The sequence below is a fragment of the Homo sapiens genome, chromosome 1 (genome assembly GCF_000001405.40).
Source record: "Homo sapiens chromosome 1, GRCh38.p14 Primary Assembly".
NCBI classification, from domain to species: Eukaryota; Metazoa; Chordata; class Mammalia; order Primates; family Hominidae; genus Homo; species Homo sapiens.
In genome coordinates this window covers 59,287,389-59,304,258 of record NC_000001.11, presented here as the reverse complement: position 1 = coordinate 59,304,258, position 16,870 = coordinate 59,287,389, and the positions used below count along the sequence as shown (strand labels likewise).

Genomic DNA, 16,870 nt, shown 5'->3' with positions numbered 1-16,870 from the left:
TATACACAAAAATCAACTCAAAATGGATTACAGTTGTAAACATAAGACCTGCAACATTAAAACTCCTAGAAGAAAACGACAAAAAACTCCTCGACATTGGTCTTGGCTATGATTTTTTGGATATGACATCAAAAGCATGAGCAATAAAAGCAAAAATAAACAAGTGAGGCTACATCAAAGTTTCTGCACAGCAAAGGAAACAATCGAGAAAATGAAAAAGCAACCTCTAAAAGAGAAAATATTTACAAATCATATATCCCAATAAGGGCTTAAAATCCAAAATATATTTTTAAAAATGTATACAACTCAAGTAACTTAATTTTTTTTAATGGGCAAAGAACTCGAATAGACATTTTCCCAAAGATGACATACAAATGCCTAATAGGTATATGAAAACGTGCTCACCCATGACTAATCATCAGCAAAGTGTAAATCAAAAGCACAATGAGAAATCACTTCATACCTATTAGGATAGCTATTATCAAAAGTCAAAGAATAAGTATTGATGAGAATATGGAGAAAAGGGAACCATTGTACACTGTTGGTAGGAATGTAAATTGGTACAGCATTATGGCAAACAGTACAGAAGTTCCTCAAAATAATAAAAATAGAACTACCATATGATATAGTAATCTTACTTCTGGATATATATCCAAAAGAAATGAAATCACTACTTGGTGTAATAGCTGTACTCCCATGTTCATTGCAGCATTACTCACAATAACTAAGATATGAAAACAACCTTAATGTCCACAGATGGGTGAATGGATAATGAAAATGTCATACATATATACACAATGGAATATTATTCAGTCTTAAAGATTCCTGCCATTTGCCACAATACGGATGAACTTAAGAGTACAACATCCTATTGAAATAAGCCAAAAACAGAAAGACAAACACTGCATGATATTCCTTATATGAAGAATCTAAAAAAGTCCAACTCATTAAAGCAGAGAGGAGAATGGTGGTTACCAGGGATTGAGGAAATGGGGAAATGTTGGCCAAAGAATACAAACTTTCAGTTATTAGAAAAATTCTGGAGATCTAATGTACAACATAGTGATTACAGTTGATAATTTACTGTATACTTAAAATGTGCTAAGAGAGTAAATCTTAAGTGTTCTCACCACACCAAGAAAGAGTACATGAGGTGATGGATATAATTAGCTTGATTGTGGTAATCATTTCACAATGTATATCAAATTGCGTTGCACACCTTGAGCATGTACAATTTTTACTCATCAGTCATACCTCAATAAAGCTGGGGGAAAAAGGAAATAGATAACCTGAACAATCCTATATCTATGTAATCAAACGACTTTGTATTTAACCTCCTGCCCCCAAAACAACAACTCCAGGCCCTGATGGCTTCACTAGTGAATCCTACTAAACAGGGTTTTTTGGGGTTTTTTTTGGAATTGTGAATGGCTTTATTTTTTAAAACTTATTTAATAAGATTCAATTAAACTTTCAACAAACTGAATAAAGTTCAATTTTATTTAAATACTTTAGGTTTGCATTTTTTATATTAATAAATTATTTTTTTTTCTAATCCTCTTTCCTCCTACCCCCTCAAGTAGATCTAACCCTCAAGTAGATCTCAGTGTCTGTTGTTCCCCTCTTTGTGTCCATTTGTTCTCATTGTTTAGCTCTCACTTATAAGTGAGAACATGCAGTATTTTTGGTTTTCTGTTTCTGTGTTAGCTGGCTCAGGATAATGTTCTCCAGCTTGCTCCATCCATGCTGCTGTAAAGGACATGATCATGTTCTTTTTTATGGCTGCATAGTATTCCATGGTGCATATGTACCACATTTTCTTTATCCAATCTACCATTGACCGGCATTTAGACTGATTCCATGTCTTTGCTATTGTGAATAGTGCTGCAATAACATTTAAGAAACAAAAATACCAATTCTACATAATCTCTTCCAGAAAAAATCAAAATGGAAGAAATACTTCCTAATTCATTCTACGAGGCCAGATTTACCGAGAGGTCAGGTATTTAGCTGATACAAGAAAACTATAGATCAATATCCATCATAAGGATGGATACAAAAATTCTTCAAACTTCAGCTAATAAAATTCAGCAATATAAAAAAAGGATAATATGCCCTGACCAATAGGGTTTATCTCAGGAACACAAGATTTAACATTGGAAAAAAAAACCAATAAATGTAATTCACCACATTAAGAATCTTTTTTAAAAATATAAATGATCAGCTGGGCGCAGTGGCTCACGCCTGTAATCCCAACACTTTGGGAGGCCAAGGAGGGCAGATCACCTAAGGTCAGGAGATCAAGACCAGCCTGACCAACATGGAGAAACCCCATCTCTACTTAAAAAAAAAAAAAAGAAAGAAAGAAAAATACAAAATCAGCTGGGTGTGGTGGTGCGTGCCTGTAATCCCAGCTGCTCGGGAAGCTGAGGCAGGAGAATCGCTTGAACCTGGGAGGTGGAGGTTGCAGTGAGCCGAGATCACGCCACTTCACTCCAGCCTGGGCAACAAGAGCGAAACTCCATCTCAAAAAAAAAAAAAAAAAAAAAAAAGAATGATCACAACAGTTATAGGAAAAACAACAAAATTACAACTTCCATTATTCCTTTAAAAAAATTCTCAGTAAAGTAGGAATACAATGAAACTTCCTAAACCTAATAAAGCATATCTACAAAAGATATACAACTAGCATCATGCATCATACTTAATAATGAAAAAATGAATGCATCTCCCTCAGATCAGGAAGAAGGCAAGATGTCAGCTCTCATCAGTTCTATGCAAAGCAATGGTTCTGGCTAGTGGAATACAGCAAGAAAAATAAAAGGCAATCTCATCGGAAAGGAAGTAAAACTATCTTTATTTACAGATGACAGGATCACCTAAATAGAAAATCTGATGGCATCTACAAAAATGCTCTTAGAAATAATAAGCACATGAGCAAGATTTCAGGATACACAATCAATATACCAGTAACAAGAAAACAACTGGAAAATAAATTTTTAAAATACATAAAATTTTAATATCATTTACAATATCATCAAAAAATAGGAAATACCTACAGATAATCCAACAAAGATGTGTAAGACCTACATATTGAGAGCTACAAAACATTGCCTAGAGAAATAAGGAAGACTTAAATAAATGAACAGATATACTGTGTCCACGGGTCAGAAGACTTGGTATTTCAAATGTCAATTCTCCCCCCAAATTAATGTATACATTCAATACAATTCCAGTTAAAATCTAAATAGGCCTTATTTTGAAATGGACAAAGTGATTATAAAATTCATATGGAAATAGAACCTAGAATAATCAAAACAAATTTTAAAAAGAACAAAATTAAAGGACTTATACTACCTGATTTCAGTACTTATTACAAAGCTGTATTTATAAGACTATGTGGTGTTCGCATTAAAATAGACAAGAGATCAACTGAACAAAATAAAACACAAAATTGGGCCAATGTATACATGGTAAATTGATTTTTGAACAAAGGTGCAAAGGCAATTCAATGAAGATAGGCTTTTCAGCAAACAGTGCTGGAACTGGATAGCCATATGCAAAAAAAAAACTTGATTCCATATTTCATGTCCTATACAAAAATTACCTTAAAATGATCACAGATTTAATATAAAACCAAAAATGACAAAACTTCTTTTAAAAATAGGAAGAATATTTGAGACCTTAGGTTAAGCAAAGATATCTTAGATAAAACACAAAAAGCATGATCCATTATAATTCAGATTGGTAACATTTATTTAACCAAATTATAAATTAGACTTCATCAAAATTAAGAACTCTGCTTTCAAAAGACACTGTTGAGACAAGCATCAAAATAAGAAAATATCTGCAAGTTACACGTGATAAAGAACTTATGATAAGAATAAAGAATTCTCAAAGCTCAATAAAAAGAAAATAAAAGGCTCATTTTTTAAAATGGACGAAAGATTGAATACATACTTTACCTTAGGGGGTATACAAAGAGGAATTAAAAAGGGCACAAGCAATCTTTGGGGTTATTAGGTATGTTCTTTTGATGGTCATGATGGTTTTCATAGATATATGCATATAACAAAACTTCTCCAATTAGACACTCTCAATACGTAGTTTACTGGATGTCAGTTATTCCTCACTAAAGCTGCTACAAAATAGCCCACTCAAGAACACCTACTGATGACTACATTCCTTCTTATCCCTACATTCAGTCAGTAATTAATTTCCATTAGATATGAGCTCTAAATTTCTCTTCAAAGAATCAATATGTCAGTATGTTCAATTCTTTTCTACTTTTAAATTTAACGTCCTCATAAAGCAAGCTTTTTCGATCACCTGCTCCACCCAGACTCACTGACTCATTCCGATTACCTGCTCATTCTCCACCCTGACTCATTCCGATTTCCTGCTCTGCCATAACCATTTTTCCCGCCAAACCACTCACATCGTCACTCTCTTTAAATTAGCCAATTGGAATTAGTTTAGCCTGTGCAGTCTAACCCTAGCCAATAGGGGAACGACACAGCAACAGGGGCCACGTGCGTCAGGCATAAGACCCGCCCCCCCACCCTTGTCCAGGTGTGCGCTCACCATTGCTCCATCTGTGAGGGCGCACCCTTCTATAGAAGTAAATGGCCTTGCTGAGAAGAAAAAAGAAAATTTGATATTCAAGTGCTATTTCTTTTGTGGCACTGAACCTTTATAACATTCCTAACCATTCTATTTTCCTAATCTCTCTCCACTCCCATAACTATTACCCTAACACGTCTCTCACCTATATTACTACAATTACCTCTCTCCGGGCTTCGCCAATCCAATTCATTCTCCAAACTGCAGCCAGAATTAATTTTCTATAACATAAACCTGAGAGTATGTATCACTGTTTGCCCTGGAGATATATTTCAAACTCCCCTAAGATGATTCACCAGACCCTTCCTGACCTGGCCTTCACCCTCCCCAGCCTCCTGTCAGGTGATTTTTTCCAACTTATCCTTTCCTGCACAGCCATCCTAATCAACCATGTGCCATGCTTGTGTAGTTCTGCACATGCTGTTCCCGGTTCATATAATCCCTCGCTCTTTCTCCAGCCCACTCATACTTAGGCTTTGGAACTCGGCTCCAGTATTCCCTTCTGGGAAGTCCTCCCCAAATGGCTTCCCCATGTTGAGCCATTTGCCCTTCTCTCAACTCCTGGGAGTCTTCGGCATACCTTTTCAATGTACTCATCTCACTATCACATAATCTCCCTCATCAAAGTGGATTGAAGCAAACTGGATGAAAGCTTGAAAGCAGAGACCAAGTCTTACTCATCTGCACTTTCCCAGAGACTACCACAGTTCTGGGCCCAAAGTATGTGGACAAGATGAGTGAACAAATGAATACATGAAGAACTGATTTGGATGATCTCTGACACCACCTGGGTTGATTCTATGTCCCTCCATTATAAAAAGGTGGGCGGGTGAGAAGGTAAGTGATCTCTGTAGCACGTTCTGGTAAAATAATCATTTCAAATCCCCCTGGGGGTGGAGGTAGGGGGTTCCACTCTGGCTAGGAGATTAAGGGCAAGATTCATTACCTCAAATTATTTTAAAAACCAGCTGGTAATTGACTGTGATTTAAACTATTTAAATCAATAAGTGAAAGGTTAGGTAAAGGGAACTATTTAAACTAATAAGTGAAAGGTTAGGGAAAGGGAACCAAATTCCAGGAAAAGCCAAGGCCCACAACAAAAACTAACACAGCCTGGAAGGCCCAGCCTCCTCCCAGTAAACTTATTAATTTTATCCAGAAAGACATGGCTCTCCACCCTCTGGGGTTATGCCCTTCTCCCAGCACACATGTTTTGACTTCCAAATCCAGCCAGGCAGGCTCCCAACCTCCCTCCCCCTCAAAATTGATCTCCAGGCCCAGCTGACCCCCTCTGATCTGTTCCCCCAATCATCCTTAATAACAGTGCTCTGGGCCTCCCACTAGGAGGTCCTCCAAGAGCCAGGCCAGTGGCCATCAGGTCAAGAGCCAAGCATGAGGGCCCCATTAACAGGAGACTCCCAGAAGACCAAGCGGCAGTCATCTGGCTGGAAAATCCAGCAAGCAAGTTAAAAAGGAAAAAAATCAGGACATACACGTGGTGGATCATAGAAAAAAAAGAGGAAAAGCAAGCAAAAACTATACAAAGCAAAACTCTACCATTTAAATAACAGCCACAAAATAAAAGACTTTCCCTTCTTTCATTCTGATTTACAAGTCAAAAGAATAAGCACCTCACCCCTCCTGGTCTCATACTTTAAAATTTAACCTAAGGATTAACTGCTTTTCAGACTTTGGTCATGTCATGACTGACTCTTCGGGGAAGAAATTTGTGTTAAGACACAGAAGTGCTTTAGTGGAAAACAGCCCATGATGAGGGAAATTCACCATTTTGCACCTTGTCAATTTTTTTTTTTTTTTTCTGAGACGCTCTGTCCCCCAGGCTGGAGTGCAGTGGCACGATCTCAGCTCACTGCAAGCTCCGCCTCCTGGGTTCACGCTATTCTCCTGCCTCAGCCTCCCGAGAAGCTGGGACTGCAGGCGCCCGCCACCACGCCCGGCTAATTTTTTGTATTTTTAGTAGAGACGGGGGTTTCACCGTGTTAGCCTGGATGGTCTCGATCTCCTGACCTCGTGATCCACCCGCCTTGGCCTCCCAAAGTGCTGGGATTACAGGCGTGAGCCACCGCGCCCGGCCCCTTGTCAATCTTTAAATAAAAAGGAAACGGCTAAAAATGAAAAGATATCCCTAGGCCTTTCTACTCAGGATAACTGTAACCAAACAGCATTATCTCATCTAAACTCAGCTGTGCCTCAAACATTATCACAAGTGCTGGAAGCGTTTAAATCTACAAGCAACACTAGCCTAAAAATGCCTTCGGTAGCCAGACGTGAATTAAAGGCTCCTCAAATGCCAGGAAAATGTCCTACAAGGGTAAGGGGAGGAGAGAAAGAGTACTGAATACAGATAAGTGGGCACTGATCGGAGAGGAAGCAGCACGGGTTCCAGACACCTAATAGGCAGCCTTGGGGATGCAGTCAAGGCCGACCCTTCCCTTCCCTTCCCTTAAGTGGCCGGACGCCTCACCCAGAAGAGGACACAGGGGACTCAACAACGTCTCGGGAACAACGGCCCGGCGGGTGTGAGACTAAGCGGCCAGGAGGAGGAAGGGGAGGAGGAGGCAGGGGAGGAGGAGGCAACGACTGCGGGAAAGGGGAAGGAAGGGCCGGGCCGGGTTGGAGAAGCCTCTTTCTGGGCGTGCGCGCTAAGAGCCTGCGCACCAGCAAAAGCCCCCAGCGCCCACGTGGGACTGAGAGGAGGGTCACTTACAGTACTTGTCCAATCTGAAATTACATTTTAGCTAGACGGATTCTGCACGTAGCCGCGCCGAACCCCACGGCGCCTGAGCAGGGCGGTCCCGGGGCGGCTACAGCCCCGCCTTGCGCGCGATCCCGCCCCCGCCGGCGCGGCCCCTGTAAAGCGCGGCCCCTGTAAAGCGCGGCCCCTGTAAAGCGCGGCCCCTGTAAAGCGCGGCCCCTGTAAAGCGCGGCCCCTGTAAAGCGCGGCCCCTGTAAAGCGCGGCCCCTGTAAAGCGCGGCCTGATTGGCCCTTTGAACCGGGCGTGGGATTGGCCGTCGCCTGCCCACCCCGCGGCTGCAGCGTTCCCTGGGGCCTAGCCAACCGCGGGCAGGGCTGGGCAAGGCGGGAGGAGCGCGGACCCAAGATCGGCTACGCTGCGTCTGCTCAGGCTGCGAGTTCCCGGCTCTGGGGACTCACCTTGCGGAGCTTACCCAGGCGGACTCTCCGCAGCCCCTGATGGGTGTGTGTGTCAGACCGTTTACTAAACACCAGGACTGTTGTAGGCGACTGTAAGAAATAAGAATATTGCATGGTTACAATTCTTGAATGCTTACCTTGTGTCTTGTTCCTTACTCTACAGAAATTTTCTAATCCCGTGGCGAACCCCCGTACTTCAACGTATGACATTCTGTAAATCTACAAAACAGATGGGTCCCTGCCTTTGAGAAGTTTTTACAATTTAGTGGGTACTGGACACGGACCTAATTTAATTCTCACATGCCTTCCCTTTCTAATAAGCTGCATGTTATGTATCCCTATTCTACAGATGTGGGGAATCCGAAATTTTTAGCTTTTACTGGGACACACAGCTAGCAAGCAACTAAAGCGAGAATTCCAACCTGAGCTCCAATCCGAACTATTTTCATAAAAGGCAGGATCCCAGGCTGAGGGAGTTCGAGGTTTGGGAGACAGTTTAGCAGTCGCTGAGTCCAAACATGTTGTTTTCCTAGAAAAGAAAACTGAGATCCAGGAAAGGGAAGTGATTTTCCAAAGACACACCTGTGAAAGGTAATAATTTCACTGAACGGATCTTAAGTGGCAGGTGCACTAAGATTGTCTGCTATCTTCACAACAACCCCGAAGTAAATAAGTGCTCTTATCTTGGTCTTACAGGTGAGGAGAACAGCCCAGTGAGGCTGAGGCCACACAATTAACCCCAGTCTTTGCACTACAACTCTACCAGGGATCCTGGTTTGGCTCATTTTCTTTCTTCTGCACCATGATTGTTCACCTTTTCATTACCAGCAACATACCCAAAGACCTAGCTATAGACTCGTTGGAATCTGTTACTTAGCAGCTGTGTGAATCAAGTGTTCAATAGGAATAATAAGATGTATTCATCTTACCTTTTCAGAACATTATGAAGAACAAATGTGGTAAGACATATGAAAATGCTTTGTAAAGTGTTAGATGCTTAATACACAGAAGACATTGCTTCCAGATCTGTTTCAACGTACCCCAAGAATGGAATAAGTGGAATATGCTGGTTTCATGCACTGTGGCAAGGGGGTCTCATCTTGGCTAGACTTGAATAAGTGGATTTGTTGCCTGGCCTCTGTGGATGGCTCTTTCTCTGGGCTTTTGTGTATTTGATTTTTTATTTGCTCCAGCAGCCGTGTTGAACCATGAAAGGACCTCAGGAATGAAACCCACACACAGCAAAGCAACAAAGTGAAAGAAGCGTGGATTCCTAATGCAGGAGGCACTGAACCAATCAATACCCACTGCCCTCCAGACCTCCACATGAAAGAAAAAAACTGCTGTCCTGTGTAAGACACTTTTATTTTGTGTTTCTATTGTATGAGGTCAAACCTAATAACAGATATATTACACTCTAACAGATACATTACATTGTATAGTAGAATTCTCAGACAGCAACCTTATAAGGTGATAGATGCAGAAACAGGCCCAAAGAGTAAAAATAATTTGTTCAGAGTTTTCCAGCCAAGTGGCGAAGGTGAGATTCTTACCTGGGTTTGTCTGAAACCAATTTTCACTATCTTTTTCAGTTATGATACACTGCCTATTACGAATGAATGAATCCTTTTTTTTTTTTCCATTTACTTCCATTTGATTCATTTATTCCAGGGAGTGACACTTTTTCTGTAAAGGACCGATAGTAAATATTTTAGACTTTGTGAGCAATACAGTCTCTGTTGCAACTACTCAACTTTGTAATGTAAAAGCAGCCATAGACAATAGTAAATGAGTAGGTATGACTATGTTTCAATAAAACTTTACTTACACAAGCAGGCAATGGACAATGTGGCCCATGAGCCTTAGTTTGCCAACCCCTAATGAAATGGGAAAAGTTCCCTTGTCCCCTTCACAGGGCGTGCGATGTGGGTGTGACTCACTTCTTCAGTCCCCACTGCACAAACCTCTAGGGAAGCATACAGACAGGTAGGCTGTGGAGATCTGACCCCACGGCAGTGTCTAGGGGTGACTGTTTACAGCCAAAGCCCCAGTGGGCACATGTAGCAGGGTGCTCTTTTAGTTTAGCCGTCCGTGGGTGGCTTGTGTTAGCCAGCTCAATTAAACCCCTGCCTTATTGCAAGGACAGAGGGCTTTCTGTATCTCGGGGTTCTTGCCTTGGTGTAGCAGAAGAATTGGATCACACGTGGGCTTGGAGAATGATTGCAAGGTTTTATGGAGTGAAAGTAGCTCTCAGCAGGTGGAGGAGCCAAAAGGGAGATGGTTTTCCCCTGGTGTCGGGCCGCTTGGCGGCCCAGGCTCTCCTCCCACTGCCCCAGCCAAACTCCATGTCATTCTGCCAGTTGGTGGCCTGCTGGCGTAAGTGTGTTCTCTCAACGTCCAGCTGCCCGCGTGTTCCTCCGCTGATGTGCTCCTCTCGACGTCCAGCCGCCTGTTTGTCTACCTGCTAGGGTCTCATGGTTTTTATAGCACAGGATGGGGGTGTGGCAGGCCAGGGTTGTCTTGGGAAATGCAATATTTGGGCAGGAAAACAAAATTATGCCTGTCCTCACCTAGGTCCTTGGGCACACATACGCATGTCCCTGCCCCCTTCCCTATCATTTAAAGGGACACACCCTTCACTTCCCAGCACTTCTGTATCACTAATTTATTGTATTCTGATGTTCCATCACAAAAGTGCATAGAGGACATATTATAGAAGGTCCCCCACCTTCTGTGACATTGTGAAATTGCAAGCATGCTCATACTGCTGTCCAACATAAGGGCTAATGACAGTGTGGTTCAGAAGATCCCTAAACTGACGGCCATGAGTTCATATCTGCCATTGCTACGATTTGAATGTGTCCCCAAGAAAGCATGTATTGGAAACTTAATCCCCAATGCAACAGTGTTGGGAGGTGAGGCCTAATGAGAGGTGGTTAGGCCATGCAGGCTTCACCCTCATGAATGGATTAATACCATTGTCACAGGAATTAGTTCATTATAAAAGGGCAAGTTTGATTTCCCAACCCCTCTTTCTCACCCTCTCACCTTCTGCCATGGGATGACACAGGAAGAAGACACTCCCCAGATGCCAGCAACTTGATATTGGACTTCCTGCCTTTAGAAACGTGAGAAATAAATTTTTTTTCTTTATAAGTTACCCAGCCTCTGGCATTCTGTTATAGCAGCACAGAACAGACTAAGACAGCCACTGAAACCAGATCTATGTCCCGGACCACCCTCATTTGCCTCAATTTCTCTCTATATATAATAAGAACAAATAATGCAAATGCTATCTATACTTCCCCGTGACTACAGGGAGACTAAGGGATGAAATATATAATCACACTTTGAAAATATATAAATGTTATCCAACCATACATCCATTGTTTCACATCAGGCTGGGCCACATAGCTTCCTCTGTACCCTTTAGTTTCCTGCCCTTATCTCTATCACAGGCCATATATCAAATGCCTAGTAATTATCAGTGCATCTATATATTCCCTATTCTCCCCAACAATACATAAAAGGTTATTGCATTGCATTGAATTATAAGACTTGATTACTGGAAAGTCTAGACATCACTCAGGGTCATTGTGGGGCAGCATGGGGATTATGCAGTGTCATTATCCACTAAGCACACTGGAGGTCACACCAGTGAAGTAGCACGTCAGATGTAAGCAAGACAGAGCTGGGTTGTGAAACTCTGGAACCAGCTGAGCTGAAAGTTTGTGTAATTTCCTTCCTGCTCAGAGATGGTTCCATATAGTAGACAGAGAGGAGACACGGAGCTTCTCTGGTAAGCTGTGGAGGCCCTGTAATGCTCTAACTGCATTCTATGAAAGCTTTTCCTGCATTAGCAACCTGCCCATTACCAGAGAAAAGAGATATTTTCCCTAAGATTCTTAGAATCATAGCACAGAAATAGATCTTATTATTCATTTATTCATTCCTACATTTATGTATTCATTCATTCAACAAAGATTTATTGAGTACTGTTCTAGGCATTAAAGAGATAGTGTTTGAGATGAACAGATATTTTCCTTGTCCTCATGGAACTTACAGTCAGGAAACACATTAAAGAAATAAACACACAAATATGTAGTTGATTCAAGTGCAAGTAGAAAGGAAAACAGAAAACTGTAAGAGAGGGAAGCTGATTTTGATTGAAGTTTAATTTAGAGTGGGGATTTTGAAGAGGCAGATAACATTACACACATTGTTTCTGGTCTCAACAACTCTATGAAGTGCCTATTATCACAACTATTGTACAGATAGGGAAACCGAGGTTTATGGAAATTGGGTGACTGGGCTAGGGAAGCACTATTAGTAAGTTTGGAGCAGGTTGTGCTCTCTCTGGTACTCCGTGCTGCATAACAGAAACCCGGAAGGTGAAAATTTTCCCACTTCCCACCTTTGCACATACCATGCCTACTTCCACCTAAAATGCCTCTCCCTTCATTCTTATTGGATTCATATTCTGCCATCAGTATCTAGTTGAGGATGTACCTCCTCTGTAAAGTTCCTCCTTCTATCTCAATAAATCTCTTTTCTTGTAGGATTCCTGCAACAATCATCAAATATTACTTACATGGCCTTGAACCTAGGATAGCTTGTCAAGTTAATTCTCTTTTTCACATGCTTGCCCTGATGCTCTTACTCAGAGGCCTACAGACAGTACAATGCCATTAGAGCCAGACAGACTTGGGCCTTCTCCCAGTTCTACAGATTGTTTGATGGATGAGCTGAAGAAAGTTTCTTAATCTCTCTGAACCTTAGATTCTCCTTGGAGAATGATTATATCTTACAAAATACCTTTAAGCATTTGTCACAGTACTCAACAGACAGATAATGTTTGATACCCCTTCATCTTCTAACCAATTCCATTTTCTAGATTGGAAGCCTCTGGAGGGCAAAAACCTGGAATTCTACTTCACAATCTCAGCAACTAGCATTGTGCTCTATAATAGCAGTGATTAATACCTGGTATATAATTATGGTGATGACAGCCCTTACCTGCCTACTGCATCTCTCATTACTAATAAGATTTGTTTTCTCCTATCTTTCTTCCTTTCTTTCTTTCGCCATTTAGATTCCTTTAAGCCTCTCTGAAACTTGACCCTCTGGCAGGAACAGGTGCCATTACATACAGACACTCTCTCTCTTCCAAATTCACCCTGTCATATCAAAGGGAAAACTGAAGTGGTCCACTGTAGACCTGACAGATGATCACAAACAGGAAACCAGCAATCAGAAGTGCCTACTGAGCTCCCTACCCTGACCATCACCTACAGCTACATTTTACAGATACAAAATCATTGTTTGTTCAACTTTCATATCAAAGGATGCTATTAGTTCATTTCCAAAGGTGGGAAAATGTTTCAACTTACTTTATTACTTGTCTGCTACTTACTATTTTCCCTCCGTTTGCCTGCCTGACTTCTTTTAACTCTTCACTCAACAAATATCTACTGACTACTGAGCACTTGCCAAGTGCTAGGCCAGAGCTGGATGCTGTACTACGGGCAGATGAAGTGCTATGGGCATCCAGAGGTGGAAGAAGAGGGTATAGCGAAAGGGGAGAAAAGGCTGCAACAATATTCACTGAGCCCTGTGCTCCCAGGTCATCACATAGACTATGTCATTATTCCTCCTAACCACCCACATGAGTAAATAGGGGCTATTACTGAAGAAACAGAGGCTTACAAAGGTTGAGCAACTTGCCCAAGGTCATCTATCACAAGACACTACAAGTCAGACTGCTGAAGAGGGAGTTTCTGCTGAGAAGCTGAAGTGGGCAGCTCATATTGGATATGAAGGCTTCAAAGGAATCTAAATCCTAATGATCCCTCTAGAGCCAACATGCAGCACCAGTTTTCTCTTCCACATTTGAACTGCTCATCCACTTCCGGCTCCAAGACCTCACTCTCCATCTAAACTAGTCCCACGCCATCCATATCTTTCTCCACTAACGCCACCCAATCACAACCCCACAGCCTCTTAGTCATGAGTCATTTTTTAAAAACTGCAAACCATGTAATGAGCCATGGCAATATGCAACCCTAAACCTCAACACGTGTTTTCCACAACAAGGCCACAGGTGGCAGAAGCGAGCCTAAGGCCGTAGGACACTAAGGCAGGACTCTCTGGCTTGAGCTTTCCAAAAAGGGAGGTGAGAGAAGGTCTACCTGCGGGAAGTCATGCTGAAGGCCTGAGGCTGAGTCAAAGAAGGAGCCCCCTGGAGGCTCTGCAGTTCCTGGACTTCAGGTAGAGGAACTCTGCCATGAACACCTCTGGAATCGTGTCATTTTGGGACAATTAGAGAATATCAGTTTTCAGACTGAGTTCTATGGGAAGGTGCCTGCACAACAAAGGAGAGACGGAATGGACTTCAGGTCTTCCAAAATACCCCTCATGTTCACCAAGTTGCTCTCTGCTCTAAGATACCAGATGAGGGGGCCAGTGGGGACTGAAACCCAGTCCCCAGTCTGCTGGCCAATCCCTTTGCCTGTGAGGCTGCTCTGTCCTACCAGAGAGGGCACTTTTCATAATTTGCACCAAGTACAGAATAGGATAGTGTAGCTTTACCCTTCTCCCTACCATCAACCACAGACACATCAACACATGCACACATACAGCCACACAAATATACCTACAGGCATACACATACAACACAGGCACATACATGTTTGCACAAAGTCACATGTAGACACAAACGCAGAGCACACAGACACAAACACAGGCACAAACCCATACTTACACTACACACACACACAAACACACACAGACACACAAATGCAAATTAAGCCACAATGTAGCACATAGAGATATAGACACAGACGCAAATACAGTCACATAGAGATATAGACACACACTTATACACACATATATGTAAATATACAGTCTCATTCACTTTATACCACACATGTATAAACATACACAATTGTATGTAGACACACATACACATAGGTACTCAGACCGCATAGATACATATGTACACACATACAAATATATGCACATACACAGATATATATATACACACATGCATCTTTAACCAGAACAACTTTACTTTTGTCAGTTTTATATGACAGAGTCTTTAAAAAAAGATTTCATCTGGCTTGTGTTCTACTATTAAAAGAGAAAATGAATTTGCTTGTTTCAAGGATTCATGTTTCTTTCATTAATCAATCAGATACTTGATGACAATATATAGAAATAAAATGACAGTGAGGAGTATGCTCGGACATAATAGTAGCAGGTCTTTCCATGATCTGAACATTATAATTAGTTTTGTTTTAAATTTATATCATGATTTAAAAGTTTATGATTTTTGGCCGGGCGCGGTGGCTCACGCCTGTAATCCCAGCACTTTGGGAGGCCGAGGCGGGTGGATCATGAGGTCAGGAGATCGAGACCATCCTGACTAACAAGGTGAAACCCCGTCTCTACTAAAAATACAAAAAATTAGCCGGGCGCGGTGGTGGGCGCCTGTAGTCCCAGCTACTCGGGAGGCTGAGGCAGGAGAATGGCGTGAACCCGGGAAGCGGAGCTTGCAGTGAGCCGAGATTGCGCCACTGCAGTCCGCAGTCCGGCCTGGGCGACAGAGCGAGACTCCGTCTCAAAAAAAAAAAAAAAAAAAACAAAAAAAAAAAGTTTATGATTTTTAACAGTGCTACATAATGTATGAAGCCAGGACTCCTGTTTTATTGATCACACACTCTGAGATAATTACAAATATTGCTTTCCACCCCATCTCCTTCAGCTCCAAAAAATCCTCTGGAGATTTGGAGAATTAGATGTTAATTAGGGGAAGGATTACATTATTAGGAAGTATACTAGGCAGGACTTTTTGGGTTGCAAGAAATAAAAATATAACTCAAATTTGCTTAAACAAATACATAAACCAAAAAGCTTTGATTTATATAACTGAGCATTTCAAAGGGAAGTGAAATTCAGGAAAGGCTGAATCCGGGGATTCCAATTATGTCTTCAAGGATCATTTTTTCTCCATTTTCCATCTCTTAACTTCTGTGTTGACTTCATACTCAAGTAGGATTATTTGGGTGAAAGCAAAGATGGCAAGCAATTGCTTTACCGTCACAATGTCCTTCTAAATCTTGGTAGGAGGAGGGTGATGATACCTCTACACTCATATTTCTTACAAGAGTGCGGAGCAAGGCTTCAATTGGCCTAGTTTGGATCAAGTGCCCACACTTAACGATGGGTTGGAATGAGATAAGCCTTATCTTAACCAGAAGGACTGAATGGTGAGGGGAGATAATTCCCTAAAAAGTTACTAGGCAAAAAAAAGGAAACATATTTCCTCCTCTCCTACTCCCAACAAACTTAATACTACACTTATGGGCCATCTATAAGTCAGGCTCTATGCTGGGGCTAAGGGCACAAGAAAAAAATATTCACACTCATTCACTATAGGAGCCCACAGACTAGTGATGTAAGCAAATTGTACAAGACAGAAAGAAACAACCAGAAAATAAAAGTTCGATAATATAAACTTTACCAAAGACACTGATAATAAAATAAATAGGTAAGCCAGAGTGGGAAGAAATATTCACAAAACATATATCTGCCAATGATGTTAATCCAAAACATATAAATAATGTCTATAATTCAGTAATAAAAAGACAAACATCCAATTATAAAAATGGGCAAAAGTTTTGAACAAACACTTCACAAAAGAAAACACATGAATGACCAATAAACCCATGGAAAACTTTTCAATATCATTACTTATCAGAGAAATGCAAATAAAAACCACAATGAGATATCACTACACAATGTCTAGAATGGCTAAAATTAAAGAGACTGACAACAACAAATACAGGAAAAAATGTGGAGTAACAACTTCTTATGTATTGCTGGTACATTTAAGTCTTTAATCCATTTGAGTTTACTTTTGTATATGATATAAGATAGGGGTCTAGTTTCATTCTTCTACATGTGGATATCCAGTTTACTCAAAATCATTTATTGAAGAGGGTGTTCTTTCCCCAGTGAATGTTCTTGGTGCCTTTGTTGAAAATCAGTTGGCTGTAAATACATGAATTTATT

At 41.3% G+C, this 16,870-nt stretch overlaps 1 protein-coding gene and 1 long non-coding RNA gene across 33 annotated transcripts in view, besides 3 other annotated features; one reads left to right on the top strand and one right to left on the bottom strand.

The window, feature by feature from the left end:
- The window catches only part of FGGY (FGGY carbohydrate kinase domain containing), a 466,353-nt gene extending 458,472 nt beyond the window's left edge, over positions 1–7,881 (bottom strand). For 14 of the 26 annotated variants that reach the window (NR_103473.2, XM_047424387.1, XM_024448176.2 and 11 more), the window contains exon 1: positions 7,109–7,165. The gene's annotated coding sequence lies outside the window, so the exon portion shown is untranslated. Of the gene's footprint in view, positions 1–7,108; positions 7,166–7,351; positions 7,447–7,798 lie in introns of those variants that run through there. The other 12 variants (XR_007061929.1, XM_047424383.1, XM_011541730.2 and 9 more) reach the window with 2 other exon arrangements.
- Positions 4,507–5,706: an enhancer, noted in NCBI's record as "CDK7 strongly-dependent group 2 enhancer chr1:59764225-59765424 (GRCh37/hg19 assembly coordinates)". NCBI's record gives its function as "activates an origin of replication core promoter dependent on BRD2, BRD4, P300/CBP, MED14 and CDK7 cofactors, with strong dependence on CDK7, by STARR-seq in HCT116 cells {active_cell/tissue: HCT116}" and the evidence as "EXISTENCE:reporter gene assay evidence [ECO:0000049][PMID:35650434]".
- Positions 7,124–7,213: a silencer, noted in NCBI's record as "silent region_941". NCBI's record gives its function as "represses an Ori minimal core promoter by ATAC-STARR-seq in GM12878 lymphoblastoid cells {active_cell/tissue: GM12878}" and the evidence as "EXISTENCE:reporter gene assay evidence [ECO:0000049][PMID:35858748]".
- Positions 7,224–7,763: a silencer, noted in NCBI's record as "silent region_940". NCBI's record gives its function as "represses an Ori minimal core promoter by ATAC-STARR-seq in GM12878 lymphoblastoid cells {active_cell/tissue: GM12878}" and the evidence as "EXISTENCE:reporter gene assay evidence [ECO:0000049][PMID:35858748]".
- On the top strand, positions 7,709–14,963 carry FGGY-DT (FGGY divergent transcript). 7 transcript variants are annotated; one of them, XR_001738090.2, is made up of 5 exons: positions 7,726–7,890; positions 8,332–8,389; positions 8,495–9,150; positions 10,869–10,926; positions 12,891–14,963. It is a non-coding gene; the product is annotated as an FGGY divergent transcript (long non-coding RNA). The 7 variants fall into 7 exon arrangements; XR_947417.3 differs by lacking the exon at positions 7,726–7,890 and having other exon boundaries at positions 8,311–8,389; XR_001738087.2 differs by having other exon boundaries at positions 7,752–7,890; positions 8,495–14,963.
- Positions 14,964–16,870: the final 1,907 nt, after the last annotated feature.